We start from the raw sequence: 27,458 nt of genomic DNA on the forward strand, positions 1-27,458 counted from the left end.
GTCCTATTAGAAATGGTAGCTTTGAAGATATGCTTTAGATACTCTCAGAATTATTATTGTCTTTTCATATAGAAATCAAAGCTAGAGATTTCTAATCCTGTATTCATTTTGTTTATCAGTAAAATATATTTTATAATTAAGTTCTTATCTCTGCTTTTTAATGCCCACTATTCGTCTAATATGCCTTTCTGTCCTGGCTGGTTTGCTTATAGGCTCTAACAATGACCTTTAGTAACTTGCTGTGCTCTTGTCTATATCTGTATCATCTGTGTGAACTTAATAATACTTTGTTGCTTTTAACTATTTGTGTAATGTAGGCTAACTGTGTAGATATTTCAAAGAAAGACAAGCGGGTCACAAGACGATGGAGAACAAAAAGTGTCAGCAAAGATACAAAAATACAACTGCAGGTACAGATTTTACTTTTCCTTCATTCACGTTTCTACATATTTTTAAAGTACTAGTCTTTATACATCAGTTTATGGGCGTTAGATTGAAAGGGCAACTTAACTGCTTTAAAGCCAGCACTTTTCAAACTGTTACATTATCTAAAATAGTGGAAAATCTCTATATTTTTCTTACTCTGGCATAAGTGAGAAGGATTTAAAAGAAAGGTTAAAATTATGCGATATGTGTTCAAAATGGCATTTTTATTCACAATTATAGCCTTTGAACCATTAAAATATATTTTAACAAAAAGTTACCTTAAAAATCTAGATTAAAAATCTAGTGGGTTATAATGAACACTCATTTAAAAATACTAGATTTTAAAAGGGACTTTTATGTGTCAGCTTTGTCCAAATGTTTTCTATCAAGAAAAAGTGTAGGAGGTTCAATAGATTAGAAATCAGCAAACCCAGATTCTAGTCTAATCACTGTGATTTTCTGGCAGTATAATTTCGTACATTTCTGTTAAATTTCCTGAGCTTTTGTTTGCTCCTGGGTAAAGTAATAGAGTTTATTTAATAAGCTCTGAATTATCTTTCAACTCTAAAATTCTATGATCCTACAAAAATAAATATTATTTGGCTTTCAACAATCACCTTAAAATCTGAACTAAATTCTTAATAGCTTGTAATAAATGTACTTGAAATTTATTTGAAATAAATTATGTATTTGAAATGAGTAATGTTCTTAAAGTAAGATCCTTTTATATTATTGTGTTGCAGTGATTCAAAATATGGTAGATTATGTCATAAACCATATTACTTTCAGATCTTTAAACTAGAATCTCCATTATTCTCCTCCTAAATGCATATTATACATGGCCCTTATCCTGCACAATCAAGATTAGACTTTATGATTTGACTTTTTAAAATTATACTACAAATAAATTTATATTCTAATACAAAGGTAGAAAGAAGTACTTTTCAGAATTCTTCAGTCCCTTCTGAATAATTAACAAAATAATTCTTCTCTAATTTTGACTTCATTAATAACATTCTTCATATTACGATTCTGACTGTGTAAATAACAAACTTGCTTTGCTTGCTAATCTGATATATTTGAAAATAAATTTTCATAAGCACTAATACCCATGGTTTTTTTTTATTAGAATGTCTACATTCAATAAACACAACTTTTTGTGTTCCTTTGCTCAGTATGTTTCTGTGTGTTTTCCCTTCTGTTCATAAAATTAATATTGTAGGGACAGATGTGCCGAGTGATTTCACAAGAAAATTACTTAAAATTGCTTTTGGCAGTTTTATTGTTTTTGAACTTGTGAGTGTCTAGTTTTGTTTGTAAGTAAAAGAATCATTCCTCTAAATAAAATAATTGAAGAAGGCCTGCATCACAAGAAAGAACACATACACTTGTTAATAGATATTGTTTTAATCTTGTGTCTGTAGTGTATGCTATTGACCACATTCTTGTTCAGAGCTGTTGTCTTGGATAGGTTGGTTCTCAGTGAGTTGTAGTTCAATGTCCCAGCTACCTTGCTGCATCTAGGAGCTCCACTAGAGACCCCCAAATCATTCTTTTTTTTTTTTTTTTTTCTGAAGGACACAGAATGCAACTGGGACTATACCACCTAGCCTCTCAGCCTGTGGTTTTACATAGACAGAAAAGTTATGAAGATTTTTTTGAGTCATCAGGAGAAAATGTCCAAAAAGCTAGAAAATATTCATTCATACTTCCGCCACATCTTTGGGTGGTTCATTTGTTTTTAAATTTTTATTTATGCTATTTCACCTTGTTTGTGACTTTGCTAAGGGTAATAAAATGGCCTTTGTAATTCTAGTTTAGTTACTTTTGAGGGAAATTGAAATCATCTCATCCCTCAAAGACACTCAAAGACAACTGCCTATTGGAAGTGGGAGATTTAGTTCCAATTCCAAGAAGAAACAAATAGACAGTAAGCTGTTAATCATTCCCAGAGAAACTCCACTTCCACCTGGACTAAAACAAAAGGTATTTTAAGGGGAACACAGCAGAGCTTGGTCCTATCTGTGGACCTTTTCTGCTTGCCCAAACCAACAGGTCTTGCAGGAGCCTCAGGATACTCATTCTCTACTACTGGGAAGTTCCTCCAAGATCCTTCAAAATTCACACTTGGCTAGGGAATCATAAGTTCATCTAGGATGAGTATGACAACATGAAAATCTTTACTCAGTATTTTGCCTAGAGAGAGGCATAGCATCTAATTTTACTCTAGTGGATTAAAGATACCCACCACTTTCTCCTACCTCATACCCAGCTTTTTCCCCTCCTGTTTTAAATGTTTTGATCATGAGAATTCTATCTAATGAGTCCAAGTATTTGTTTTGAGTCAATGATCATCTCACCACTCAAACCACTTTCGCTGATGTTGCAGCCAATATGAGAGGCTCTCAAGCAGTGAGAGCTCATTTTCTGTCCCCACTCTTCTTCGTAACTAAGTACAACAGCCATTGTGAAGGTGCCCAGACCATTCAGTGGTGGTGGTTGTGGTATTGTTGCTGCTGTTGTTGTTATCAATGTTGTGTTACTGAACTTTGTATTCAGTATTCCATAGTAGTTGTCATTTTGAAAAAATTTTAAATAGATCATTAAAAAAATTGACCGCAAGAAAGTAAAAATGAAAAACATGTTATACTGGATGTTTGATTGCTTATTCTTGTGTAGGTTAGATTGTGCTATTGATTAAATGAGAAGGTTAAATTCTAGACTGGTATGGCCATGTTTCTACTGGAAACTATTGGGCAGTTGGCCTCAGAAATCCACATTGTATAACTCATGAAGTCAGCATTTGTCCTAGAGGGTTCTGTGGAGATTACCTTTTAGAATAAGGATTTCTTCTTGCCTCCTAAACTTCAAACTTCCTGGTTCGAATAAAAATCTCAGTACCATTATGCAGTAACAATTTGGCTGTGTTTTAAATGAAGTAAGAGGAAGGCAAGAAGGAAATGATTTTGAAAGAGCGGTTAGATCTCCTGTGTTGCTGATCATATGAATTAAATACTAGATCCCTGGATGTTGAAGGGAATGAGGAATAGTAGAAAGTACATAGTAGCAGACAGATGATCTTATGTTGCTCCTGTGTAGCTGTCCTGCATCTCATAGATGCTCAAATTACACTGAAGGGTGAGAATAAGTTCTTCCCCCTTTTACTACATTAAGTAGAAAGGATTTTGTCTAGAAATTTTTTTTTGTGGAAAACAGATTATGTGTGTATGTATGTATGACAAACATATACATATATGTATGCAGAAGACTTATGAAGATGGAAAATAAATAAGATCGTAATTTTGGAACTTTTTTGAAGATTTAGAGGTAGAAAAAGTTTAAATATTTTTCTGACATCCCAAAAAAAACTAAAGTGGTCCTACTGGTTCTTCAGTTTGGGCTGTTAGGAGATTCTAAGAAAGTATATCTTAATTATTTGGAAATGAAATTATTGCTCATGGCTGGGCAAGGTGGCTCATGCCTGTAATCCCAGCATGTCAGGAAGCCAAGGTGGGAGGGTCGCTTGAGGCCAGAAGTTCAAGGCTGCAATGAGCTATGATCGTGCCACAACACTCCAGCCTGGGCAACAGAGTGAGACCCTATCTCAAAAAAGAAAAAAAAAAGTATTGCTCACAACCTTGAGGTGTCAGGGTCTGTCAGATGGAGGCAAAGTTGAATGGTTAGAAGGAAATATCATCATCCCTTAATCCCATCCACCAAGAAGAAGAAAACAAAATGAAAGAAAGCTGTAGGATTCTTCTACCGGTTTGTGCATAGGTGCACATTACTAAATGAAAACTATGCTTTCAGGTTTTCATAGTTGATTTTTATAGGCATTGTCCTCACCCACTGAGGAACTTAAGTTTTCTTTTCTGATCTTATGGGGTCTGGCATCTTCCTTGGAAAATTCTTAGACTTGAAAATCCCAGCACTCTTACTGATGTTGAGTCCCAGATAGTGAGCTGTATAATAGGAGATTAAGTAGGAAGTCGAAGAACCCTCATACCCTTCCCTTACTTTTTTTCTTCCAGTAAGAAATTAAAAAAACAAAAAAAATTCTGTCTGGCCATTATGAGGCTCTCATTACAACCTGTTCATTTTAGCCTTCCCACATTATTTCATCAGTTTTTCCTGAACTTACTTTTTCCTTGCTACCGTTTATTGAATACCTTTTGACTTCATATAACATGATATCATATGAATAAAACAGTATGCATATTTATTTTACCTTAAAATCGCAGGCTGTCCATCAGTTTATAACTCCATCTCCTTTTGGGGTGTGGGTTATAGTCAGCAAATAGAATTCAGATGTTTGAGTAATGAGAATGATGAACATTTCTCATAGCATGAACTCCCCTGTGAGCGCTTTTCGATGCTGATTTAAGAAAAGTCGACTTCAGTTAAAAACTCTCCCTCTCCTTGTCTGATTATCTTTCATCCTCCCATCTTCCATCCTTTCCTCCCCCGTCCTGTGTTTCCTCCCCTCTTCTCCCATTCACCGTCAGGAAGGGCCACCCGCGAAGGGCCAGTTCAGCACAACTCGGCGCCGGCAGAGGCTAGCGGCAGCAGTGGCTACAACAGTGAGTGGATTTCAATCTCAAGTGGAAGTTTAATAAGAATGAGAACCTGTGTACAAGGATGACTCCCCTGTCCTGATGGTGCCACTGGTGTGTGATGGCATCACCTGTAGCCCAATCATGGCAGCATAGCTTTCACATGTTCTCTGGCTGTCTTTGCATGGCAGGAGTCGAACACGGGTATTCCTTTTTACAATGGAGAACTATTATATAATCTAGTTCTTCTACTATACATGAAGACATAATTTAAGTCAAATTTGCAAAATTGAGTACAGTGCCCCATGATGTGAGCTTTCCTTAAATTATATTGTTTTTTTTTCTTTTTGACCATACTGATATTGGAACTTTTGCTAACTGATTTCTCTTTTCCTAAGAAAAGTCATGTTACTACAGGCATAAATTGTGCTTTTTTTTGTAGCAGTGTGACTATTTGAAAAGGATGTGAGAATAAAGAAATGAGAGGGTAAGAAAAGGTGAATTTTGCTGTCATCTCTAAATGGCTACCCAAGTTACACTTAGCAAGGGAAAATTGTTTTCTGAAAAGAATATTGACATGAAAATTAGAAACTGTAGTGTGGAAATGACAAAAAAAAGACAGTTTTATGGTATTTAAATCCATATCTAGAGGTTTTTTTTTCTGAGAGAAAATAGAATGGATTTAAGGAGAGTAGAGAACATATCGAGGTAGATAAGGCAAATGGATAGTGAGTGACTTGTCTACAGAATATAAAATAGACTATCAAAACACAAGAACTCCTTGCTGGATAAAAGCCAATTATAATATTTGTTTAATCATGAGCACCTATGAACATCTTAAAATATAGATTACTGAGTTCACAGCAATCATAGATTTTAGTTTTTTGGCTATTAGATAATATTTCCTTAATTAACAGCAGTCTTGCTGTCACTAAGGGTGGAATGTATTTTAAGACTAGAATTGCTGAAAAAATATGAAAAAGTTTTGGCTGCATTGCAGGAGAATGGATGCTGGTATGAGGATGGGTGGCTTTCTACTTTATGATTAGTAATTGGCTCTTGCCTTATATGTGGGTGTTTAGCTAGACTGAGAAACAAATTTGCTTTTGATTATGAAATGAACCAGTGACTTGGAATTTATTAGGGAAATGACTCTTAAACTCACAGTTTTGTAAACATTTGAACAAACAAATTATTGAAATAGCTTTCATGGTCCATGTATATCTTATGCATGTATTCAAATGCAGATGAATAAATCCCATGACACTGATGTGGTAACAGATTCTGACAATAGATGCATATATAATCAGTTAAGTATTATTAAAGGTAATTTTCCATTTATAAAATTAAGAAATACACATGGTTATTAGAGAGAGAACAACAACTTAGTATGGAAAGGAACAGTCCATCATTTTATGAAAACACTGTTTTCTTAAGCAATATACATCTAAGATGGCATGCAGAGAAGTGATTCTGTCTCTTCTGTGTTCATTCTTTTAAATTGCAGATACATACAGTGAATATAATAAAACTGAGATTAGCACCTATTTGAATAGAATGGGTTTATATTTTTAAAATTGAGAGTAGAAGAGAAAAAGCCTTTAAAAGAAGAAATCATTAATGCCCACCTCCCAGGGTGACTATAGAAGTTACGAGAAAAACTTTGCAGCATGTAGTAAGAAAAGCTACTGGCAACATTTAATAAGGTATTCAGGAATAACTAGGGGGACTGGCTACTCCAGGATCTATAGCTTTGTCTCCATACCAAAATGCAGCAACATCTAGCAGATGTTTCAGAAATTTGCTCTTGATGACTCTTAGCACTAGCATTCAGAACAGCCAACTCACAGCAGCAGCCAGACCCAACAGAACAGGAGACTGGAAAAAGATAAATACTGGCTCTTTCCCATGGAAGAACACTGAGGATCCCAATGCAGTCAGTACCCTCAAAGAATCCCTGTACACATAGTGCAGAACAGCAACAGCAGGAGACTTTTCCCACTGGCTCGATGAGTCCTGTAAGCATAGTATCTACCTTAGACCTACTGTGTAGACTTTCATGTCTACCGTTGCTGAATTTCACTGTCAGCAACTCCATTGTCAATTCATTTCACTTTTGACTTATTCATGGACAGGACTTAAGAGCATCTCCTAATGTCCCCATTCCAAACTTCAGTTCTTACTACCAGAATATTCTACGATCAGGCTTCCCTCCTTTCACAGGACTTCAAGAAAGCCTTGGATTTCTTTCCTGCGCAGGGTAGAAAGGCCCAAATTGAGTGTTGAGGGTTCTCAGGTATCAACATGGAGAGCTGTAGGCAGCTCCCACTCCAACCATCACTGACAGAGAAACCAGTTACCACTTAGATTTTTGAATCCTATAATACCCAAATTGATGAATAAAAAGCTAAGTAAATAAGTCCCCAGTCTGAACAGATATTCAATTAGGGTTAGATTAATACATCCCAATTTGTATTCTCAATTTCATTTCATGAATTCCTCAATTAAAATGGCCCATTCCACGTACCTCTTTTAACAAAAAAAAGTATACCAATATATAAACATTTTCAGTCAGAAGTATGTGAAAATTAGTTCTCAATTCCCAGGGAACCATCTGATTGCAATTTGAATGGAACATTCAAGTCTCTTTCCCTGTGGGTAATATGCAAAACCACTTTTACTGTTTTAATAGCCAATTTAAGTTTCCATTGTGTTCAAAATATAAATTTGTAACTTACGTTTTTCTTCTCAGCATCTGACTCCAACATTTAATAGAGAAATAATAATTTATCTCAGGGACAAGTCTGGGTCCTTCCTGGACTCCCTGGGTTTTCACTGCATAATGGCCTCCTATACAAGCTTCCCGCCAACTCTCATGACCCCATTCCTCACCCGCTAGAGGAAGAGACTCCTCTTCCAAGCCATGTGAGTCCTCAGAGTGTTGAGGGCACCTGAATGCAGATAAAATCCTTTTCCATGATCCTCAACATATTACCAAAGACCCGCATTTATTTTTTTTAATGTTGTTCTAGTTCCTTATATCAGAAAACTGTACCATTAATTCTGAAAACTCCCAGATCTACCTATTTTTTCCACTCACAGTCTCTCCCCATGACATCCTAATCTCCAGCAACTTTTCCATGGAGTCTGTGTCCCTCAATGGGCTGACTGCTCTTTCTAGATTGAGCATCACCACAGTTAGGGTCTGAACTTCCTTTCTCTGTCTTCTGACATTCTGCCACATAAATACCATTCCTTTGTAAGTATCCTAAAAGGTCCTCAGTCCTTGTTATTATTAAGTTACCTGGACAGGATTCCAGCAGAGTATTGAACCCCAGCACTCCATTTTCTTAAATGGCTTATTGGCCACTTCTGGGTCTCAAATCTAGAATAGCCAGAAATTTTCAGCCTGATAATATTGATAAACAAGCTGTTTAACAATCATCTCCCAGCCCAGTGTAGCCAAGTTCTCCAAAGAAGATGAGGTAGGGTTCCTTTGATAACTCCAGATACCAAATGATTCAAATAACATATATTAGCATGCTTAGCTTAGCTGAATTTTGGGGAGGGGAAAGCTTCATGCTCACTTTCTTCCCCAGTAAGTCCTGGATATCTTTTAAGAGAAATAAATCCCTGCCAGGACAATGCTGCATCAGAAGGACGCTCTGTCTCAACTGCCCTTAACCTGCAGCTCAGGCCAGATATTTTGATTCTTTCCATCTCTTCCATGTGTCCTCTAAATCCTTGGAGAAAAAGTGCCCTCTTCTCCTTCCCCCTTTCTCTCACCAAATAGGAAGTTTAAAGCAAAAACCAAAAAATTAAAAAAGAAGAGGTCCTGACATACATATCCATCAGAAGGTAATGGTTCCTTCCTCCCACAGCACATTCCCTGTTAGCCAGGGGGTGTGAATTATCCTGTCAGTTACACAAAATTTCAACTTGTGGTGGAGTCTAAGAGTCTGGTTCTTGAAGATAATTGAATGCACGTCTTTGCAGTAAGAAATAGGGAAAAGTTGTTTGTGATCTGATTTGCAGGAAGAATTGGTATTTTCCTTTTCCAGGAATGTTTGGCTGACATTTGTAATGTTCAGGTAAAGCCTTCTTAAAGGGGAGGAAAAGGTGCTTTGCCTCCACCAATCAGGAACCTAGTCCATATCCAGCCTGGGCAAGGAAGTACCTCTAGCCATGTGGAAAAATCTATAGTAATATGACTTTTTCTACTTACTGCTTCTCAGTATTGGCTGGTTCATGAGCCATGTGCATATATGTAATAGAGTTGTGTGTAACATACAAAGGTAAACCACAGAGATTTATATCATATATATTTCATTTACTAATATAGATTTTAATAAGTCAGTTTCCAAAATAAGTATGAGTCTCTTTAAGCCATTACTGTATTTCCTGTTAAGCCTGATTTGTTTTTTATTTAATGGCTACAGAGTAAGTGAATCTTCCAGTATATGCATCTCTTGAATTTTCACAGGTTTAGTAAGATCCTGCTCCAGGATCAGATAGTCCAGACTGTAAGAGAAGGTCAGCTACATCACAGTTCAGACTGCTGTTTTTCTGCCAGTTATTTTTGAGGTGCAAGTATGAGTTCAGAGTTTAAGCTTGCTTGGGATTATGTCTTTTCTTCCTGTCATTCTATAGTTATTTCTCTCTGTAGCAGTGAAAAATTGGTGAGTCTGTGGCAGTTCTAAATCAACAATGGAAAATGAGACTCCCTCTTCCTACCCCAACTGCCTGCAAAATAAATGAGTACTGAGTGTCTCCAAGTGTGTTATCAGAGAGGAATCTATTATTTTGAAGAACGGGAGAGGTCTTTTCTATGTAGGAGAATGTGAAACAATGCACTGTTGCTGTTTAATAATTTGTATCTTCCCCTTTCAGGTTCCTTTCAGTGCTACCATGTCACCAGTTCGCTTGCATTCCTCCAACCCCAACCTTTGTGCAGATATTGAATTTCAGACTCCCCCTAGCCACCTCACTGACCCTCTGGAAAGTTCAACAGATTATACAAAGCTGCAAGAAGAATTTTGTCTAATCGCACAGAAAGGTAAGAACAAAAATAATGCGCCCTTTAAAGAAGCTCTCTTCTTTGATGAAAGATTATCCTTTGTTCTTTTATCTTTGTCTTTGTGGTAATGATAGAAAGATTAAATGGTTGGATATAGTGGTTGAAGTTCTATATACAAAAATGCAACAGGACATGATGCTTGCCTGTTGGAAGATCACACATCACAGGTTTACAGTTTTGACTAAAGAAAGAAAGTGCCATGGGGTTGGGGATAAAAAGTTATTGTACGCAATCTGGCAAGATACTACTACTCAACATTTTTTTCAATGTCTCTCGGTTATCATTTAATACGTATTTATTGGTTCTCTTTAGATTCTGTTTATTTCTTTTTTTATTAAATAACACTCATGTATTGGACTTTACAATTTGTGGGTCGGGAATTCAGGCAGGGCTCAGCTAAGCAGCAAAGCCTCTGTGCCAGATGTCTTTGACTAGCCCCAGTCACTGGGATTCGGCTGCAGGCTGAGCTGGGCTGAAAGACGCAAGGTAGCTTCCCTCCTGTGCCTAGCACGTTGGCACGACAGCTGGAAGGCTGCACACAACTGTGCCGCCTTCCTCTCCATGGCAGCTTAGGGTTCCAAGAGCCTGGTAGTGGAAGCTGCACGTCCTCTTCAAGGCCAGCTCTGGAACTGGTGCAGCCTTCTACTTCCATTGTATTCTATTGGTCAAAGCACCATAGGCCAGCTCAGATTTGAGGGGAAATTGATCCCACATTTGAGCCTCTTCTTTATGTTAAATTTTCAGTGAGGCTTGTTGTATAAATTAAATTGTTATAATCAGCCGCAGAGAGTAGGCTATGGTAAATAAGCAGGATAGTGGAGAGTAGATGGACTGAGCAGTCCTGTCAATGTTTAACAAGAAGAGTCTAGGCTCCCTATACTGCCAGAGTATTGAACTTTCAGCCACTCAAGTTTGTTCTTAAGATAGTATCTTCTCAGGCGTTGTCTTTTAAAATCTTCTAGAGAGAGATAAACATTGTATTGCTTTTCGTCACAAATATGTTAAATAGAACACCTCAGGTGCCTCCCTGAGACTCAACAGCCTGGTGGAAAAGAAGGGGGCACACTGAAGATCTCTCTGGAAATGTTGAATCAGCCAACATTTGCAATCTCAAACCATCCGCAAAAATATGCTGTCAGATTTCATTAATTCTATGATTCTAAAAACAATTAAGCTAAACCCCTTAGATTTCTCAATTGAGACTCTTCTGTAAGGCCAGCTCTCTCTTACCTGCCATTTTACTCCTGGTGTATGTTCATTGCATTTCTTAGCTGGATATTAATTATGATATTAGACTAGAGCAATATTAATTTGTTTATGTAACAGCATAGATTTATAGCCAGTAACTTCTACTTTGGGGAAGGAGGTGCAAAAGGTAGAGTGTGACCACAGATGTGTGAGTTGAATATATGAGTATGGCACAGCTGCTAAGGGGAGATGGTACTTTGGAAGGCAGCCCCAGGAAAACTTTGTGTATTTGGTTGCAATTCTGAAGCTTCCAGGAAATCCAAGCATCAACAGAGTTTTAAGGCTTCTGTTGAATGATACATCACATTAACCAACTGAAAGACAAAAACCACATAATCATGTCATTTGCAGCAAAAGCATTTGTCAAAGTTCAATACTCTTTCTTGATAAAAAAAACACTCTTAATGGTTTAGGTATAGAAGGAAAGTTTCTCAATATATTATAATAAAGGTCCTTTATTAAAAACACACAGCTAACATCACTTAGTGGGGAGAAATGGAAAGCTTTTCCTCTAAGATCTGGTACAAGGCAAGGTGGCCCACTCCTCCTGCTTCTGTTCAACATGGTACTGGAAGTACTATCAAGAGCAATTAGACAACAAAAAGAAATAAAAGGTATCCAAATAAGAAAGGAAGAAGTAAAATGATCTCTATTTGCAAATGACATGATCCTATGTGTAGAAAACCCAAAAGATGCCACCAAGAAACTGTTAGAGCTAATGAATGAATTCATTAAAGTTGCAGGATATACAATGAACATACAAAACCCTGTTATTCTATACACGAATAACAACATAGCTAAAAAAGAAATCAAGATCTATCCTATTTATGATAAAATAAAATACTTAGGAATAAACTTAAGCAAGGAGTTGAAAGACCTGTACACTGAGAACTATAAAAAAAATTGGTGAAAGAAATTAAAGAGGACACAAATAAATGAAAGATATTCCATACTCATGGATCAAAAAGTTATGTTGTTAGAGTGTTCATACTTGCAGCCATAAAAAAAGAACAAGATCACGTGTTTTGCATGAACATGGATGGAGCTAGAGGTTATTATCCTCAGCAAACTGACGCAGGAACAGAAAACCAAATACCACGTGTTCTCACTACAAGTGGGGGCTAAATGATAACAACTTATGAACACAAAGAAGGAAACAACAAACACTGGAGCCTATTTGAGGGTGGAGGGTGGGAGGAGGGAGAGGAACAGAGAAGATAATTATTGGGTACTGGGCTTAATACCTGAGTGATGAAATAATCTGTACAATGAACCTCCATGACACATGTTTGCCTATGTAACAAACCTTCACATATTACCCCCAAACCTAAAATAACAGCTAAAAAAGGCTCATACTACCTAAAGAAATATACAGATTCAATATAATTCTTATCAAAATGCTAATGGCACTCTTCCAAGATATAGGAAAAACAATAATAAAATTTACATGGGCACTCCATTCCAAGATGGCAGAATAGGAACAGCTCCATTCTGCAGCTCCCAGTGTGATCAATGCAGAAGATGGGTGATTTCTGCATTTCCAACTGAGGTACGTGGTTCATCTCATTGGGACTGGTTAGACAGTGGGTGCAGCCCACAGAGGGTGGGCCAAAGCAGGGCAGGGCGTTACCTCTCCCAGGAAGCATGAGGGGTCAGGGGATTTCCATTTCCTAACCGAGGGAAGCCATGACAGACTGTACCTGGAAAAACGGGACACTTCCACCCAAATACTGCACTTTTCCCAAGGTCTTAGCAACCAGCAGACAAGGAGATTCTCTCCTGTGCCTGGCTTGGTGGGTCCTATGCCCATGGAGCCTTGCTTACTGCTAGGACGGCAGTCTGAGATCGAACTGCGAGGCGGCAGACTGGCTGGGGGAGGGGCATCCACCATTGCTGAGGCTCAAGTAGGTAAACAAAGCAGTCAGGAAGCTCGAACTGGGCAGAGCCCACTGCAGCTCAGTAAGGCCTATTGCCTCTATAGACTCCACCTCTGTGGTCAGGGCATAGTTGAAAAAAAGGCAGCAGACAACTTCTGCAGACTTAAACGTCCCTGTCTGATAGCTCTGAAGAGAGCAGTGGTTCTCCCAGCATGGCATCTGAGCTTTGAGAACGGACAGAATGCCTCCTCACATGGGTCCCTGACCCCCATGTAGCCTAACTGGGAGACACCTCCCAGTAAGGGCCAACAGACACATCATATAGGTGGGTGCCTCTCTGAGACGAAGCTTCCAGAGGAAGGATCAGGCAGCAATATTTGCTGTTCTGCAGCCTCCACTGTTGATACCCAGTCAAATGGTCAGAAGTGGACCTCCAGCAAACTCCAACAGACCTGCAGCTGAAGAACTTGACTGTTAGAAGGAAAACTAACAAACAGAAAGGAATAGCATCAATATCAACAAAAAGGTCATCTACACCAAAACCCCATTTGTAGGTCACCAACATCAAAGACCAAAGGTAGATAAAACCACAAAGATGGGGAGAAACCAGAGCAGAAAAGCTGAAAATTCTAAAAACCAGAGCACCTCTTCTCCTCTAAAGGATCACAGCTCCTTGCCAGCAATGGAACAAAGCTGGATGGAGAATGACTTTGATGAGTTGGCATAAGTAGGCTTCAGAAGGTCAGTAATAACAAACTTCTCCGAGTTAAAGGAGCATGTTCTAACCCATCACAAGGAAGCTAAAAACCTTGAAAAAAGGTTAGACGAATGGCTATCTAGAATAAATAGTGTGGAGAGGACCTTAAATGACCTGATGGAGCTGAAAACCATGGCACAAGAACTTTGTGATGCATGCCCAAGCTTCAGTAGCTGATTCGATCAAGTGGAAGAAAGGGTATCAGTGATTGAATATCAAATTAATGAAATAAAACAAGAAGACAAGGTTAGAGAAAAAAGAGTGAAAAGAAATGAACAAAGCCTCCAAGAAGTATGGGACTATGTGAAAAGACCAAATCTACATTTGATAGGTTTACCTAAAAGTGATGGGGTAATTGAACCAAGTTGGAAAACACTCTTCAGGATATTATCCAGAACTTCCCCAACCTAGCAAGACAGGCCAACATCGAGATTCAGGAAATACAGAAAATGCCACAAAGATACTCCTCAACAAGAGCAACCCCAAGGCAAATAATTGTCAGATTCACCAAAGTTGAAATGAAGGAAAAAATATTAAGGGCAGCCCAAGAGAAAGGTCGGGTTACCCACAAAGGGAAGCCCATCAGGCTAACAGTGGATCTCTCAGCAGAAAGCCTATAAGCCAGAAGACAGTGAAGGCCAATATTCAAGATTCTTAAAGAATTTTCAACCCAGAATTTCATATCCAGCCAAACTAAGCTTCATAAGAAAGAGAAATAAAATCCTTTACAGACAAGCAAATGCTGGGAGATTTTGTCAACACCAGGCCTGCCTTACATGAGCTCCTGAAGGAAGCACTAAACATGGAAAGAAACAACTGGTACCAGCCACTGCGAAAACATGCCAAATTGTAAAGACCATTGATGCTATGAAGAAACTGCGTCAGTTAACAGGCAAAATCACCAGCTAACATCATAATGACAGGATCAAATTCACACATAAGAATATTAACTTTAAACGTAAATGGGCTAAATGCCCCAATTAAAAGACACAGACTGGCAAATTGGATAAAGAGTCAAGACCCATCAGTGTGCTGTATTCAGGAGACTCATCTCAAGTGCAGAGGCACACATAGGCTCAAAATAAAGGGATGGAGGAAGATCTACCAAGCAAATGGAAAGCAAAAAAAAAGCAGGGGTTGCAATCCTAGTCTCTGATAAAACAGACTTTAAGCCAACGAAGATCAAAAGAGACAAAGAAGGCCATTACATAATGGTAAAGTGATCAATTCAACAAAAAGAGCTAACTATCCTAAATATATATACACCCAATACAGGAGCACCCAGGTTCACAAGGCAAGTCCTTGGAGACCTACAAGGAGATTTAGACTCCCACACAATAATAATGGGAGACTTAACACCCCACTGTCAATATTAGACAGATCAAAGAGACAGAAGGTTAACAAGGATATCCAGGACTTGAACTCAGCTCTGCACCAAGCAGACCTAATAGACATCTACAGAACTCTCCACCACAAATCAATGGAATATATATTCTTCTCAGCACCACATCACACTTATTCTAAAATTGACCACATAATTGGAAGTAAAGCACTCCTCAGCAAATGTAAAAAACAGAAATCACAGCAAACTGTCTCTCAGACCACAATGCAATCAAATTAGAACTCAGGATTAAGAAACTCACTCAAAACCGCACAACTACATGGAAACTGAACAACCTGCTTCTGAATGACTACTGGGTAATTAACGAAATGAAGGCAGAAATAAAGATGTTCTTTGAAACCAATGAGAACAAAGACACAACTTACCAGAATCTCTGGGACACATTTAAAGCAGTATGTAGAGGGAAATTTATAGCACTAAATGCCCACAAGAGAAAGCAGGAAGATCCAAAAACCAACACCCTAACATCACAATTAAAAGAACTAGAGAAGCAAGAGCAAACAAATTCAAAAACTAGCAGAAGGCACGAAATAACTAAGAGCAGTGCAGAACTGAAAGAGATAGAGACACAAAAAAACCCTTCAAAAAATTAATGAATCCAGGAGCTGGTTTTTTGAAAAGATCAACAAAATTGATAGACTGCTAGCAAGACTAATAAATTAGAAAAGAGAGAAGAGTCAAATAGATGCAATAAAAAATGATAAAGGGGATATCACCACCAAACCCACAGAAATACAAACTGCCATCAGAGAATACTATAAACACTTCTACGCAAATAAACTAGAAAATCTACAAGAAATTGATAAATTCCTGGATGCATACATCCTCCCAAGACAAACCAGGAAGAAGTTGAATCTCTGAATAGACCAATACCAGGCTCTGAAATTGAAGCAATAATTAATAGCCTACCAACCAAAAAAAGTACAGGACCAGATGGATTCATAGCCAAATTCTACCAGAGGTACAAAGAGGAGCTGGTACCATTCCTTCTGAAAATATCCCAATCAAAAGAAAAAGATGGAATCCTCCCTAACTCATTTTATGAGGCCAGCATCATCCTGATACCAAAGCCTGGCAGAGACACAACAAAAAAAGAGAATTTTAGACCAATATCCCTGATGAACATCAGTGCAAAAATCCTCAATAAAATACTGGCAAACCGAATCCAGTAGCACATCAAAAAGCTTATCCACCACGATCAAGTCAGCTTCATCCCTGGGATGCAAGGCTGGTTCAACATATGCAAATCAATAAACGTAATCCATCACATAAACAGAATCAATGACAAAAACCACATGATTATCTCAATAGATGCAGAAAAGGCCTTTGACAAAATTCTACAGCCCTTCATGCTAAAAACTCTCAATAAACTAGGTATTGATGGAACATATCTCAAAATAATAAGATCTATTTATGACAAATTCACAGCCAATATCATACTGAATGGGCAAAAACTGGAAGCATTCCCTTTGAAAACCAGCACAAGACACAGATGCCATCTGTCACCACTCCTATTCAACATAGTGTTGGAAGTTCTGGCCAGGGCAATCAGGCAAGAGAAAGAAATAAAGGGTATTCAATTAGGAAAAGAGGAAGTCAAATTGTCCCTGTTTGCAGATGACATGATTGTATATTTAGAAAACCCCATTGCCGCCACCCCAAATCTCCTTAAGCTGATAAGCAACTTCAGCAAAATCTCAGGATACAAAATCAATGTGCAAAAATCACAAGCATTCCTATACACCAATAACAGACAAACAGAGAGCCAAATCATGAGTGAACTCCCATTCACAATTGCTTCAAAGAGAATAAAATACCTAGGAATCCAACTTACAAGGGATGTGAAGGACCTCTTCAAAGAGAACTACACACCACTGCACAATGAAATGAAAGAAGACACAAACAAATGGAAGAACATTCCATGCTCATAGATAGGAAGAATCAATATTGTGAAAATGGCTATACTGCCCAAGGTAATTTATAGATTCAGTGCCATCCCCATCAAGCTACCAATGACTTTCTTCACAGAATTGGAAAAAGCTACTTTAAAGTTCATGTGGAAACAAAAAAGAGCCTACATTGCCAAGACAATCTTAAGCAAAAAGAACAAAGCTGGAGGCATCACGCTACCTGATTTCAAACTATACTACAAGGCTACAGTAACCAAAACAGCATGGTACTAGTACCAAAACAGATACATAGACCAATGGAACAGAACAGAGGCCTCAGAAACAACACCACACATCTACAACCATCTGATCTTTGACAAACCTGACAAAAACAAGCAATGGAGAAAGGATTCCCTATTTAATAAATGGTGCTGGGAAAACTGGCTAGCCATATGTAGAAAGCTGAAACTGGACCCTTCCTTACACCTTATACAAAAATTAATTCAAGATGGATTAAAGACTTAAACGTTAGACCTAAAACTGTAAAAACTCTAGAAGAAAACCTTAGCAATACTATTCAGGACATAGGCATGGGCAAGGACTTCATGACTAAAACACTAAAAGCAATGGCAACAAAAGCCAAAATAGACAAATGGGATCTAATGAAACTAAAGAGCTTCTGCACAGCGAAAGAAACTACCATCAGAATGAACAGGCAACCTACAGAATGGGAGAAGATTTTTGCAATCTACCCATCTGACAAAGGGCTAGTATTCAGAATCTACGAAGAACTCAAACAAATTTAGAAGCAAAAACAATCCCATCAAAAAGTGGGCAAAGGATATGAACAGACACTTCTCAAAAGAAGACATTTATGCAGCCAACAGACACATGAAAAAATGCTCATCATCACTGGTGATCAGAGAAATGCAAATTAAAACTACAATGAGATACCATCTCATGCCAGTTAAAATGGCCATCATTATAAAGTCAGGAAACAGCAGGTTCTGGAGAGGATGTGGAGAAATAGGAACGCTTTTACACTGTTTGTGGAAGTGTAAATTAGTTCAACCATTGTGAAAAACCATGTGGTGACTCCTCAAGGATCTAGAACTAGAAATACCATTTGACCTAGCAATCCCGTTACTGGGTATATACCCAAAGGATTATAAATCATGCTACTATAAAGACACATGCACACATATGTTTATTGCGGCACTATTCACAACAGCAGAGTCTTGGAACCAACCCAAATGTCCATCAATGATAGACTGGATTAAGAAAATGTGGCACATATACACCATGGAATACTATGCAGCCATAAAAAAGGATAAGTTAATGTCCTTTGCAGGGACATGGATGAAGCTGGAAACCATCATTCTCAGCAAACTATCACAAAGACAGAAAACCATACACCACCTGTTCTCACTCATAGGTGGGAATTGAATAACAAGAACACTTGGACACGGCAGGGAACATCACACGCTGGGGCCTGTCCAGGGGTGAGGGGCTGGGGGAGGGATAGCATTAGGAGAAATACCTAATGTAAATGATGAGTTGATGGGTGCAGCAAAGCAACATGGCACATGTATACCTATGTACCAAACCTGCACGTTGTGCACATGTACCCTAGAATTTAAACTAAAATAAAAAAATTTAAAAAATAAATAAAATTCACATGGAACCACAAAAGAATTTGATAACCAGAGCAACCTGGGGGGAAAACAACAAAGTTGAAAACATCATGCTTCCTGATTTAAAATTATATTACAAAGCTATAGTAATCAAAATAGTATGGTATTGGCTTAAAAACAGATACATTGACCTCTGGAACAGAAAAGAGAGCCCCAAAATAAATCCAAACATATATGATCAACTAATTTTCAACAAAGGCACCAAAAAGGCACAATGAGAAAAGGATAGTTTGTTCAATGAAAGATGCTAAGAAAACCAGATTTCCACATGTAAAAGAATGAAATTGGACCCTTATCTTACACCATACACAAAAGTGAGCTAAAAATAGATAAAAGACCTAAATGTAAGACCTGAAACTATAAAACTCCTAGAAGAAAACGTAGAGCAAAAGCTCCTTGACATTGTTCTTGGCAATGGATTTCTTAGATATAACACCAAAAATTCAGGCTAAAAAATCAAAAATAAATAAATGGAAAATTTCAAACTAAAAAGCTTGTCATGTAAATTTTTAAAAATAAGCTTCTGCACAGCAAAGAAAACAATCAACAAAAGAAAAAGGTAACCTACAGAATGGGAAAAAATATTTGCAAACCATGTATCAGATAAGGGCTTAATATCCAGGATGTATAAAGAACTCATACAACTCAATAGGAAGAAAACGTATAACCTTTACTTGAGGCCAGGAATTCGAGACAAGCATGAGCAACATAGTGAGACTCCATCTCCACAAAAAATAAAATTAAAAAAATTAGCCAGGCATGTTAATGTGTGCCTGTAGTCCTAGCTACTCGAGAGGCTGATGTGGGAGGATCACTTAAGCCCAGGAGTTAGAGGTTACAGTGAGCTATGATCACGCCATTGCACTCCACAATAGACAACAGAGTGGGACCTTGTCTCATAAAAAAATTAAATAAATAAAAATGTTTTTAAAAAGAAAACATATAGCCTGATTTTAAAATGAGCAAAGGATCTGAGTAGATACTTCTCCAAAGATGACATAAAAATGACCAACAAGTACATAAAAAGGTGATCAGCATCACTAATCATTAGGGAAATGCAAATCAAAACCACTATGCGCCACCACCTCACACCTGTTAGGATAGTTATTAAAAAGACGAGACAAATGTCGGCAAGGGTGTGGAGAAAATGAAACCTTTGTACACTGTTGTTGGGAGTGTACGTTGGTGCAGCCATATACACCGGAAAATAGTACAGAGATTCTTAAAATAATTAAAAATAGAACTACCATATGACCCAGCAGTCCCTCTTCTGGGCATATATCTACAGGAAACGAAATCACCCTGTTGTAAAGTTATCTGCACTCACATGTTCATTGCAGCATTATTCACAATAGCCAAAAAGTGGAAACCACCCAGGTATCTGTCAGTGGACAAATGGATAAAGAAACTGTGGTATACACATACACAATGGAGTATTATTCAGCCTTCAAAAAGGAAGCGATCCTGCCAATTGCCATAGCATGGATGGGCCTGAAGGACATTATGCTAAGTGAAATAAGCCAGACTTGGCCAGGTGCAGTGGCTCACACTTGTAATACCAGCACTTTGGGAGGCTGCAGTGAGCAGATTGCTTGAGGCCAAGAGTTTGAGAGCAGTCTGGTCAACATGGCAAATCCCGTCTCTACTAAAATTACGAAAATTAGTCAGGCGTGGTGGTGCCTGCCTGTAATCCCAGCTACTTAAGAGGCTGATGCACGAGAATTGCTTGAACACAGGAGGCGGAAGTTGTAATGAGTGGCTTGTGCCGCTGCACTCCATCCTGGGTGACAAAGTGAGACTCTGTCTCAAAAAAAAAAAGAAGCCAGTCCCAGAAAATAGTATTGCATGATCTCACTTATATATGGAAACTTTTTGTTTCTTTTAAGTCAAGTATATATAGAGAGAGAATAAAACAGTGACTACCAGGATGGCAGTGGAGGGGAGATGTAGGTCAAAGGACACAAAGTAGCAAATGTGTAGGATGAACAAGTAGAAAGATCTAATCTACATTGTGAAGATTATAGTTAATAATAGTGTGTTATATTCAGGACTTTTGCTAAATTAGTAGATTATAGCTGTTCTTGCCACAGCGCGGTGGGGGGGCGGGAAATGGATAAGACGATGGATATGTTAATTTGTTCCACCACAGTAACCGTTTTATTACATATATGTATCTTATGACATCATGTTGTATACATTAAATATATACACAATAAATTTTTTAAAGCTAACCATTTTACTACTTATATGTATCTTATAACATCATACTATATACCTTAAATACATACACAATAAAAAAAATTTTTAAGCCTCCATTGAAACTACATATTTTCAACAGACACACAAATTCTCTATGCTAGGCAAAGAAACAAAAGAACTTTTCTATGACTATTGCATGAACTTTTTTGGAAGCGTTATTTTAAAATGGATGAAGAGCTTGCTTTTAGAGCTACCAGCAGGATTAATGTAATCCAGCTATCAAGTTATTACCTTTAAATTGATGATGACAGAATGTAGCACATAAATCAATAGATCGTGAATCCCTTGTGATCCTGCCATTTTCCCCCTGTAATTCAGCCACTCTATTTTATGCTAAAAATTTCCACTTTTATAAATACCTTTCTCAAATAAGGAAATACCTATTTTAGAATACTTTGCATATTATAGAAACTCTGTTATTATAAAAATAGATGTTGGAAAGTCACCCTTTCTGTAGTTCACGATTGAAGACTGCCTCAGATTTTACCAATGCTAATTTGTTAGGTATGTAGGAAATGGGGAGGGGGTGTTGTTTTTATTGTTGCTTTTAAATCAAAGCACTTTAACAACAAGATATTCCTGTCTGAGAAAGCAACGCAAGTGCTGTTCTTAAAGGCATATCATTTCCTACCTCCAAGAGAACCAGTCAAAACTTCTTGATCAGCCACCTGTTTTATGTTGGCAGAATGCATAAAATGCTCTTTTTGGGTGCATGCTTTTGGAGAATATTTTTGGATAGTTCTAAATTATTTATGTGAGACTTTATGCTACACAGAACTGCTCAAATATGATAATCAAATATGGCAAGTAAACTTGTTCCCTATTCTTTCTAGGGATTATAAGTTAATTTCTAAATATTGATACTTTGCATTGATCTTGATATTTTACATGCTACTTCCAGATTTTTGTTGGCCTGTCTGGTATAAAAAACAAATTTTTCACTCTGATCAATTGCCATTGTAATATTTGTGTGGAGTATAGATATCCTGATAAAGATTCCTTTTGAAGGCTGATTTTTAATTAGACTATTACATAGCCTTTCCAAAAAATGCCTATTTGTGAGTGAAAGTCTGGAGAAATTTATAATGTTGTGTATTCTTTCTGCACATATCTGACAGTTTTTTCTCACTTTTCTCCCCACCCAGTGCATTCTCTTTTGAAGTCTGCATTTAATAGCATAGCTATAGAGAAGGAGAAGCTGAAGCAGATGGTTTCCGAGCAGGATCACAGTAAAGGCCACAGCACGCAGATGGCACGGCTCCGACAGTCACTGTCTCAGGTAGGCAAAGAGTGTGTGTTTGCATGTACATGACACACTCCCAACCCTGTAAGATGAAAGATCAAAAGATGGGGGGCTGGCAGGGAGGTGGCTAGTCATGGGGATAGTACAGTTTGCAGAATTTCCCCCAAAAGACTGCAGTGTCAGTATTAGATTTTACTACTTTTCTTCCCCAAAATTTCAAGGTAAGAGTGAAAATAAACCAAACTTGCTTGTAAGCGTATAATGGTAATTTTGGCCAATTGAACACTTAATGCTTCTCTAAGGTCATTTATAAGGTAGCCCCTCATTTTAAAAAAAGAATTATGCATTTATTTGACCTATACATCTGAAATGTGTTCCAGGATATATTCAGTCCAATAGTGAATATTTTTTAAAAATGTACTAGATCTTCCACACTTAATATTTTTCCCACTTACATCTTAATCTGTTTAAAATTACTGATTACTATCACTCATTTTTTTCTTTTCTGATTTGCACTCTTGAGGTTTTCTTCCTAAGTTATGCTCCCTGAACTAGACTTTTATATTTCAATATATATTATAGAGTTGATCTTATTAATACTAATCAAATCCCTATGTATCTATATCAAAGTTGAAATTTCTGATAAAAATCCTTTAGAGCTGTGCTTATGCTTTTTTCAACTGAGTAGTTCCTTAGAAGTAAGTATTTTCTTTAGTCTATAAATGCACTGACTTAACTCCTTTAAGAATTCAATGTCGTTATGTGATTTTGTGAGAACTCGGTGTCTATATAAAATATTATTCACTTCCTGGTGCCTTGGATCAGAGTGAAGGAGCAAGCAAATCCTGGGTAAGTGGTTCTCCGCGTGGAGCAGATCCTGCTTGAACAGTTTCCCTCGGTCCCTAAAAAGTAGACTTACACCGTGTCACCGTGTTTTACGTCCCTGAACTGTCGGCGTATTTTCAGTGTTAAGTTTCATGTCATGGATGTTGTTATATGGGCCACACTTTCTGCATTATCCATAAAACACTGTCAGCTGAGGGGCATATGCTGCTTCCAGTATAAAGCCAGGGGTCTCAGGAGCATGAGCGTGAAAATCCGCTACGATTCTGCCAGTCTTCAGAGGGCTTTATTTAGAAGAACATTTTAATGGCTTTCCCTGGACCCTTCTCATGTCATGGATCGGTCGAACACTCAGTTGACGTTAATTGGTCTTCCAAATCATTATTCTGAAAGTATCGTGAATCAGAAAGATCAAAATATTGGTCAAGTAAACATTCAAATGTCATCTTGTAAACATATAAAATACATTCTTGTCCCCCTAAGTGTTGCAATGATTCCTTCAGATGTATTTAATGATGGAGGCTTAGAGTTAGAAGTCAAGCTTTACTAAGAAAAACAAGAAAATGCATTTGTTTCTTGCTTGCCTGCTTGCTTGCTTTTATTTGCTTGTAGGTGAAACAGAGAATGGTAAATAAAGATCTCGGGTCGGGCTTCAGGTGAGATTAGAAATAATTATGAAGAGAAATTTTACAACAGTTATTCATTTGTTCATTCCCTTATTCATTGTATTCCATTCGGGTGACTATATGCTAGGTATTGTGCAAGGTACAGAACACCAAGGTTAAAGTAGCCCTGGCCATGTTCCCAGCAAGCTCGTGATCTGATTCATGAGATGAGCAGGAAACAGTGAAATGGAGCACACCGTAGTACATTCAGAGCAGTACATGGTGGTGCACATTTCCCGGGCTCTGGTTGCTCAGAGGAATGGCAGATCCCTGAGTTGAGAGCAGAGCCACAGATCAGGCTTCTTGGAGGAATCAGACCTTGAACCTGGCCTGAGTAGACAGCAGCCGCTCACAAGGAAGGGTCTGATGCTAACATGATAAAAGTAAAATAAAGCAAAATTTGATCAACTGTGCTTCCTTGGGGTTAACATATTTCCCTCTCTTGTCAACACATATTTATTTGCATCTAAAGTTAGAGCCTCAATAGATTTTTGTTGGATTTTTTATTTTTATTTTTACAAAAAAATCTCAATTTTAGCCTTAAAAGATGTGAAAATAATTTGGAACTATTAAGTTTCAAATAGACCGTTACAGCCTATCCAGTAGATAATTCAGTGCTTGCAGCTGTGTGTCATCCCAGCATTTTGGTGATGTTCACATCCCCGTGTGTGTCCATGCCTTCCCCTCGGCGTAGTCGCACCCCCACTGGCCATCTATTCCCGTCACCTCTAAGTGTGGACTCCCTTTTGGAAACCACAGCAGCCTTTGCTTAAGGTATTTAAGTTTACTGACAGTTCTTTCCTTTCTAACAAATTGTTATTCATGGTTAGGCCGTTGGAGAGGTGTCTGGAGAATGGCAGGTAGTTCATAGTGGAAGAAGTAGGAGATGAAGAAGGAAGAATTACTCTTAAGAGTAGCTGATTAAGTAGGCAAGAACCAGCTCATCAGGGACTCCACAGAGGGTTTTGGATTTATCCTATCAGTTAACAATTTTAACTGGTAAATGATAATGCCAGAAATTAGAACTATTACAGCATATTTCTGCATATTAGAAAGATTACTCTGGTACAGTATGGAGGGTAGGTGGAATTGGGAGGCAAGGCTAGTTGGACAGATTCTTATGGTATTTGAGATAATTTGAGAATAGCTTGTACATTTGAGATATTTCTAAACTGAGGAAGTGCCATGCCAGCATTGGTGGAAGGAGGGAATACATTTCAAAGACACCCAGGAGGGAGAATCAGCATGGCTTGGAGATCAGCGGAATGTTAGAGAGGGACAAGGACACAGAGTCGAGACAGTCCAGGGTTTTTGCTTGGATAACTGGGTATGTGAAAGTTATTGTCCCCAAGGTGGGACTACAAGAGGAGCTGGTTTGCTTTAGGTATTTGATGATGGATTTCTGTGGAGATTGAGGTGTCTGTGGGGCATTTTACAGGCAATTAGATATTTATGTCTAGAGCTCAGAAGACAGGTCTAGGCTAGAGAGGAAGATGGATGCCCCTGCATATCAGGGCAGTTATAGATGTTGACGAGTTGCAATGCAGTCAGAATAAAATGGTCAGTGGTGCTCCTGCTGCTGTAGAGAACATTAACATTTAAACGACAGGCTGGCCGGGCGCGGTGGCTCAAAATAATCCCAGCACTTTGGGAGGCCGAGGTGGGTGGATCATGAGGTCAGGAGTTCGAGACCAGCCTGGCCAACAGGCGAAACCCCATCTCTACTGAAAATACAAAAATTAGCTGGGCGTGGTGGCGGGCGCCTATAATCCCAGCTGTTTGGGAGGTTGAGGCAGGAGAATCACTTGAACCCAGGAGGTGGAGGTTGCAATGAGCTGAGATCATGCCATTGCACTCCAGCCTGAGCAATGAGAGTGAAACTCCATCTCAAAAATAAATAAATAAAAAACTTATTTAAGTAGTCTAAAACTTTTAAAGCCTATGTTTTATTTGACATAAGTCCTATTTGATGTATGTCTAATGATTAAAGTGCTGCATTTCAACAAGGCTTTAAATATATCAGACTCAGCAAATTTTATCGTCTTTTCGAAGGCACATAGCAGATAAAATACTTGAAATTAGCATTTTTACAACATGCTTAGCATAAATTGTTACCTGCCTTGAGCAAACAAAAATTTGCAAGGCTGGACAGTCTAATGAATTGCTCTTCTAAAGTAATGTTACTTCAACCAGCCTGGTCAACATGGTGAAACCCCTTCTCTACTAAAAATACAAAAAATTAGCTGGGCGTGGTGGCAGGTGCCTGTAATCCCAGCTACTTGGGAGGCTGAGGCAGGAGAATTGCTTGAACCTGGGAGGCAGAGGTTGCAGTGAGCCAAGATCGCACCATTGCACTCCAGCCTGGATGACAGAGCGAGACTCTGTCTTAAAAAAATAAAAATAAATAAAGTAATATTATTTCCCAATCTATATGTACACAAAAACATATATAATTCTATTATTTAACCCCCATGAAACTTAAACTTTCACACTTGAGAGGGAGCCTGGATGTTGGACCCAAGCCTATAGACAGGACATTTTATGTGGCATCTATCCCTTATAAATGACTTTATTTGACATCAGCTATAATTTCATATCTTTTTTTGTTTGTTTGTTTTTTGGAGGCAGAGTCTTCCTCTGTTGCCCTGTTTGGAGTGAGGTGACACAGTCTCAGCTCACTGCAACCTCCGCCTCCTGGGTTCAAGTGATTCTCCTGCCACAGCTTCCCAACTAGCTGGTATTACAGGCATGAACCACCACGTCCGGCTAATTTTTTGTGTTTTTAATAGAGATGGGATTTCACCATGTTGCCCAGGCTGGTCTCGAACTCGTGGCCTCAAGTAATCCTCCCACCTCGGACTCCCGAAGTGCTGGGATTATAGGCATGAACCACTGCACCCAGCTTATGTCTTGTTTAATGCAGTACCCTGAACACCAAAATGAAATAGTCTGTAATAAAACTAAGGCAACCTCAGCACCCCAGATTACCATAATAATAAAAATCCAACTCATCTTGAGCCTATCTTGAATACATTACATTTTATCACTGTTATTAGTTTGATTCCTGGCCCCAGAAATTGTGCACAGCTTGTGTTAAACGCAGTGAGAGTTGGGCTCATATAAATGTGAATAACGGAATATGACCCATCTATTCCAGCTAGAATCACTGTATTTTATTAAATCAAGATGCCATCAATTATTACATGCATCATCATTTTGTGCATTACTGAGAAAAGGAAAAAAAACACTGCTGTCAATTGAACTGACACGGTGCTTCAGAGGCGGTGAATGTGGGGGGAAATGTGCATCTTAGAATCAGCGAAATGTAAATAGAATTGAAGCAAAAAAATTGCTTAACATACTATATAGTAGCATAATGTAAAATCCAAGTCATATCTGTCATCCTCCCTGTCCACAACATTTCACATACCCAAATAATTATTCTGTGATGAAATAAAAGTTGCAAGTGTATTTGTTTATTCCTTAATTTCATAGTTCCCTGAGACTTGGCCAAATTTGTTGTAT

The 27,458-nt window shown here is 38.1% G+C and overlaps 1 protein-coding gene across 50 annotated transcripts in view, besides 2 other annotated features; it reads left to right on the forward strand.

Annotated features, from left to right (window-relative positions):
* Positions 1-27,458, forward strand: part of OSBPL6 (oxysterol binding protein like 6) — a 209,120-nt gene that overhangs the window by 145,581 nt on the left and 36,081 nt on the right. For 17 of the 50 annotated variants that reach the window (XM_047443130.1, XM_047443129.1, XM_047443127.1 and 14 more), the window contains 3 exons: positions 318-410; positions 9,870-10,035; positions 22,328-22,461. In XM_047443130.1, coding sequence (XP_047299086.1) covers positions 318-410; positions 9,870-10,035; positions 22,328-22,461 — 393 coding nt within the window. Of the gene's footprint in view, positions 1-317; positions 411-4,931; positions 5,007-9,869; positions 10,036-22,327; positions 22,462-27,458 lie in introns of all 50 variants that reach the window. The other 33 variants (XM_047443146.1, XM_047443150.1, XM_047443123.1 and 30 more) reach the window with 3 other exon arrangements.
* Positions 13,114-13,614: an enhancer, noted in NCBI's record as "H3K27ac hESC enhancer chr2:179217195-179217695 (GRCh37/hg19 assembly coordinates)". NCBI's record gives its function as "activates a minimal SCP1, AML or CMV promoter by ChIP-STARR-seq in naive H9 embryonic stem cells {active_cell/tissue: H9 hESC(naive)}" and the evidence as "EXISTENCE:reporter gene assay evidence [ECO:0000049][PMID:30033119]".
* Positions 24,144-24,302: a silencer, noted in NCBI's record as "fragment chr2:179228225-179228383 (GRCh37/hg19 assembly coordinates)". NCBI's record gives its function as "represses an EF-1alpha promoter that drives an FKBP-Casp9 reporter gene in an ReSE screen in HepG2 liver carcinoma cells {active_cell/tissue: HepG2}" and the evidence as "EXISTENCE:reporter gene assay evidence [ECO:0000049][PMID:32094911]".

The sequence above is a fragment of the Homo sapiens genome, chromosome 2, assembly GCF_000001405.40.
Source record: "Homo sapiens chromosome 2, GRCh38.p14 Primary Assembly".
NCBI lineage: Eukaryota > Metazoa > Chordata > Mammalia > Primates > Hominidae > Homo > Homo sapiens.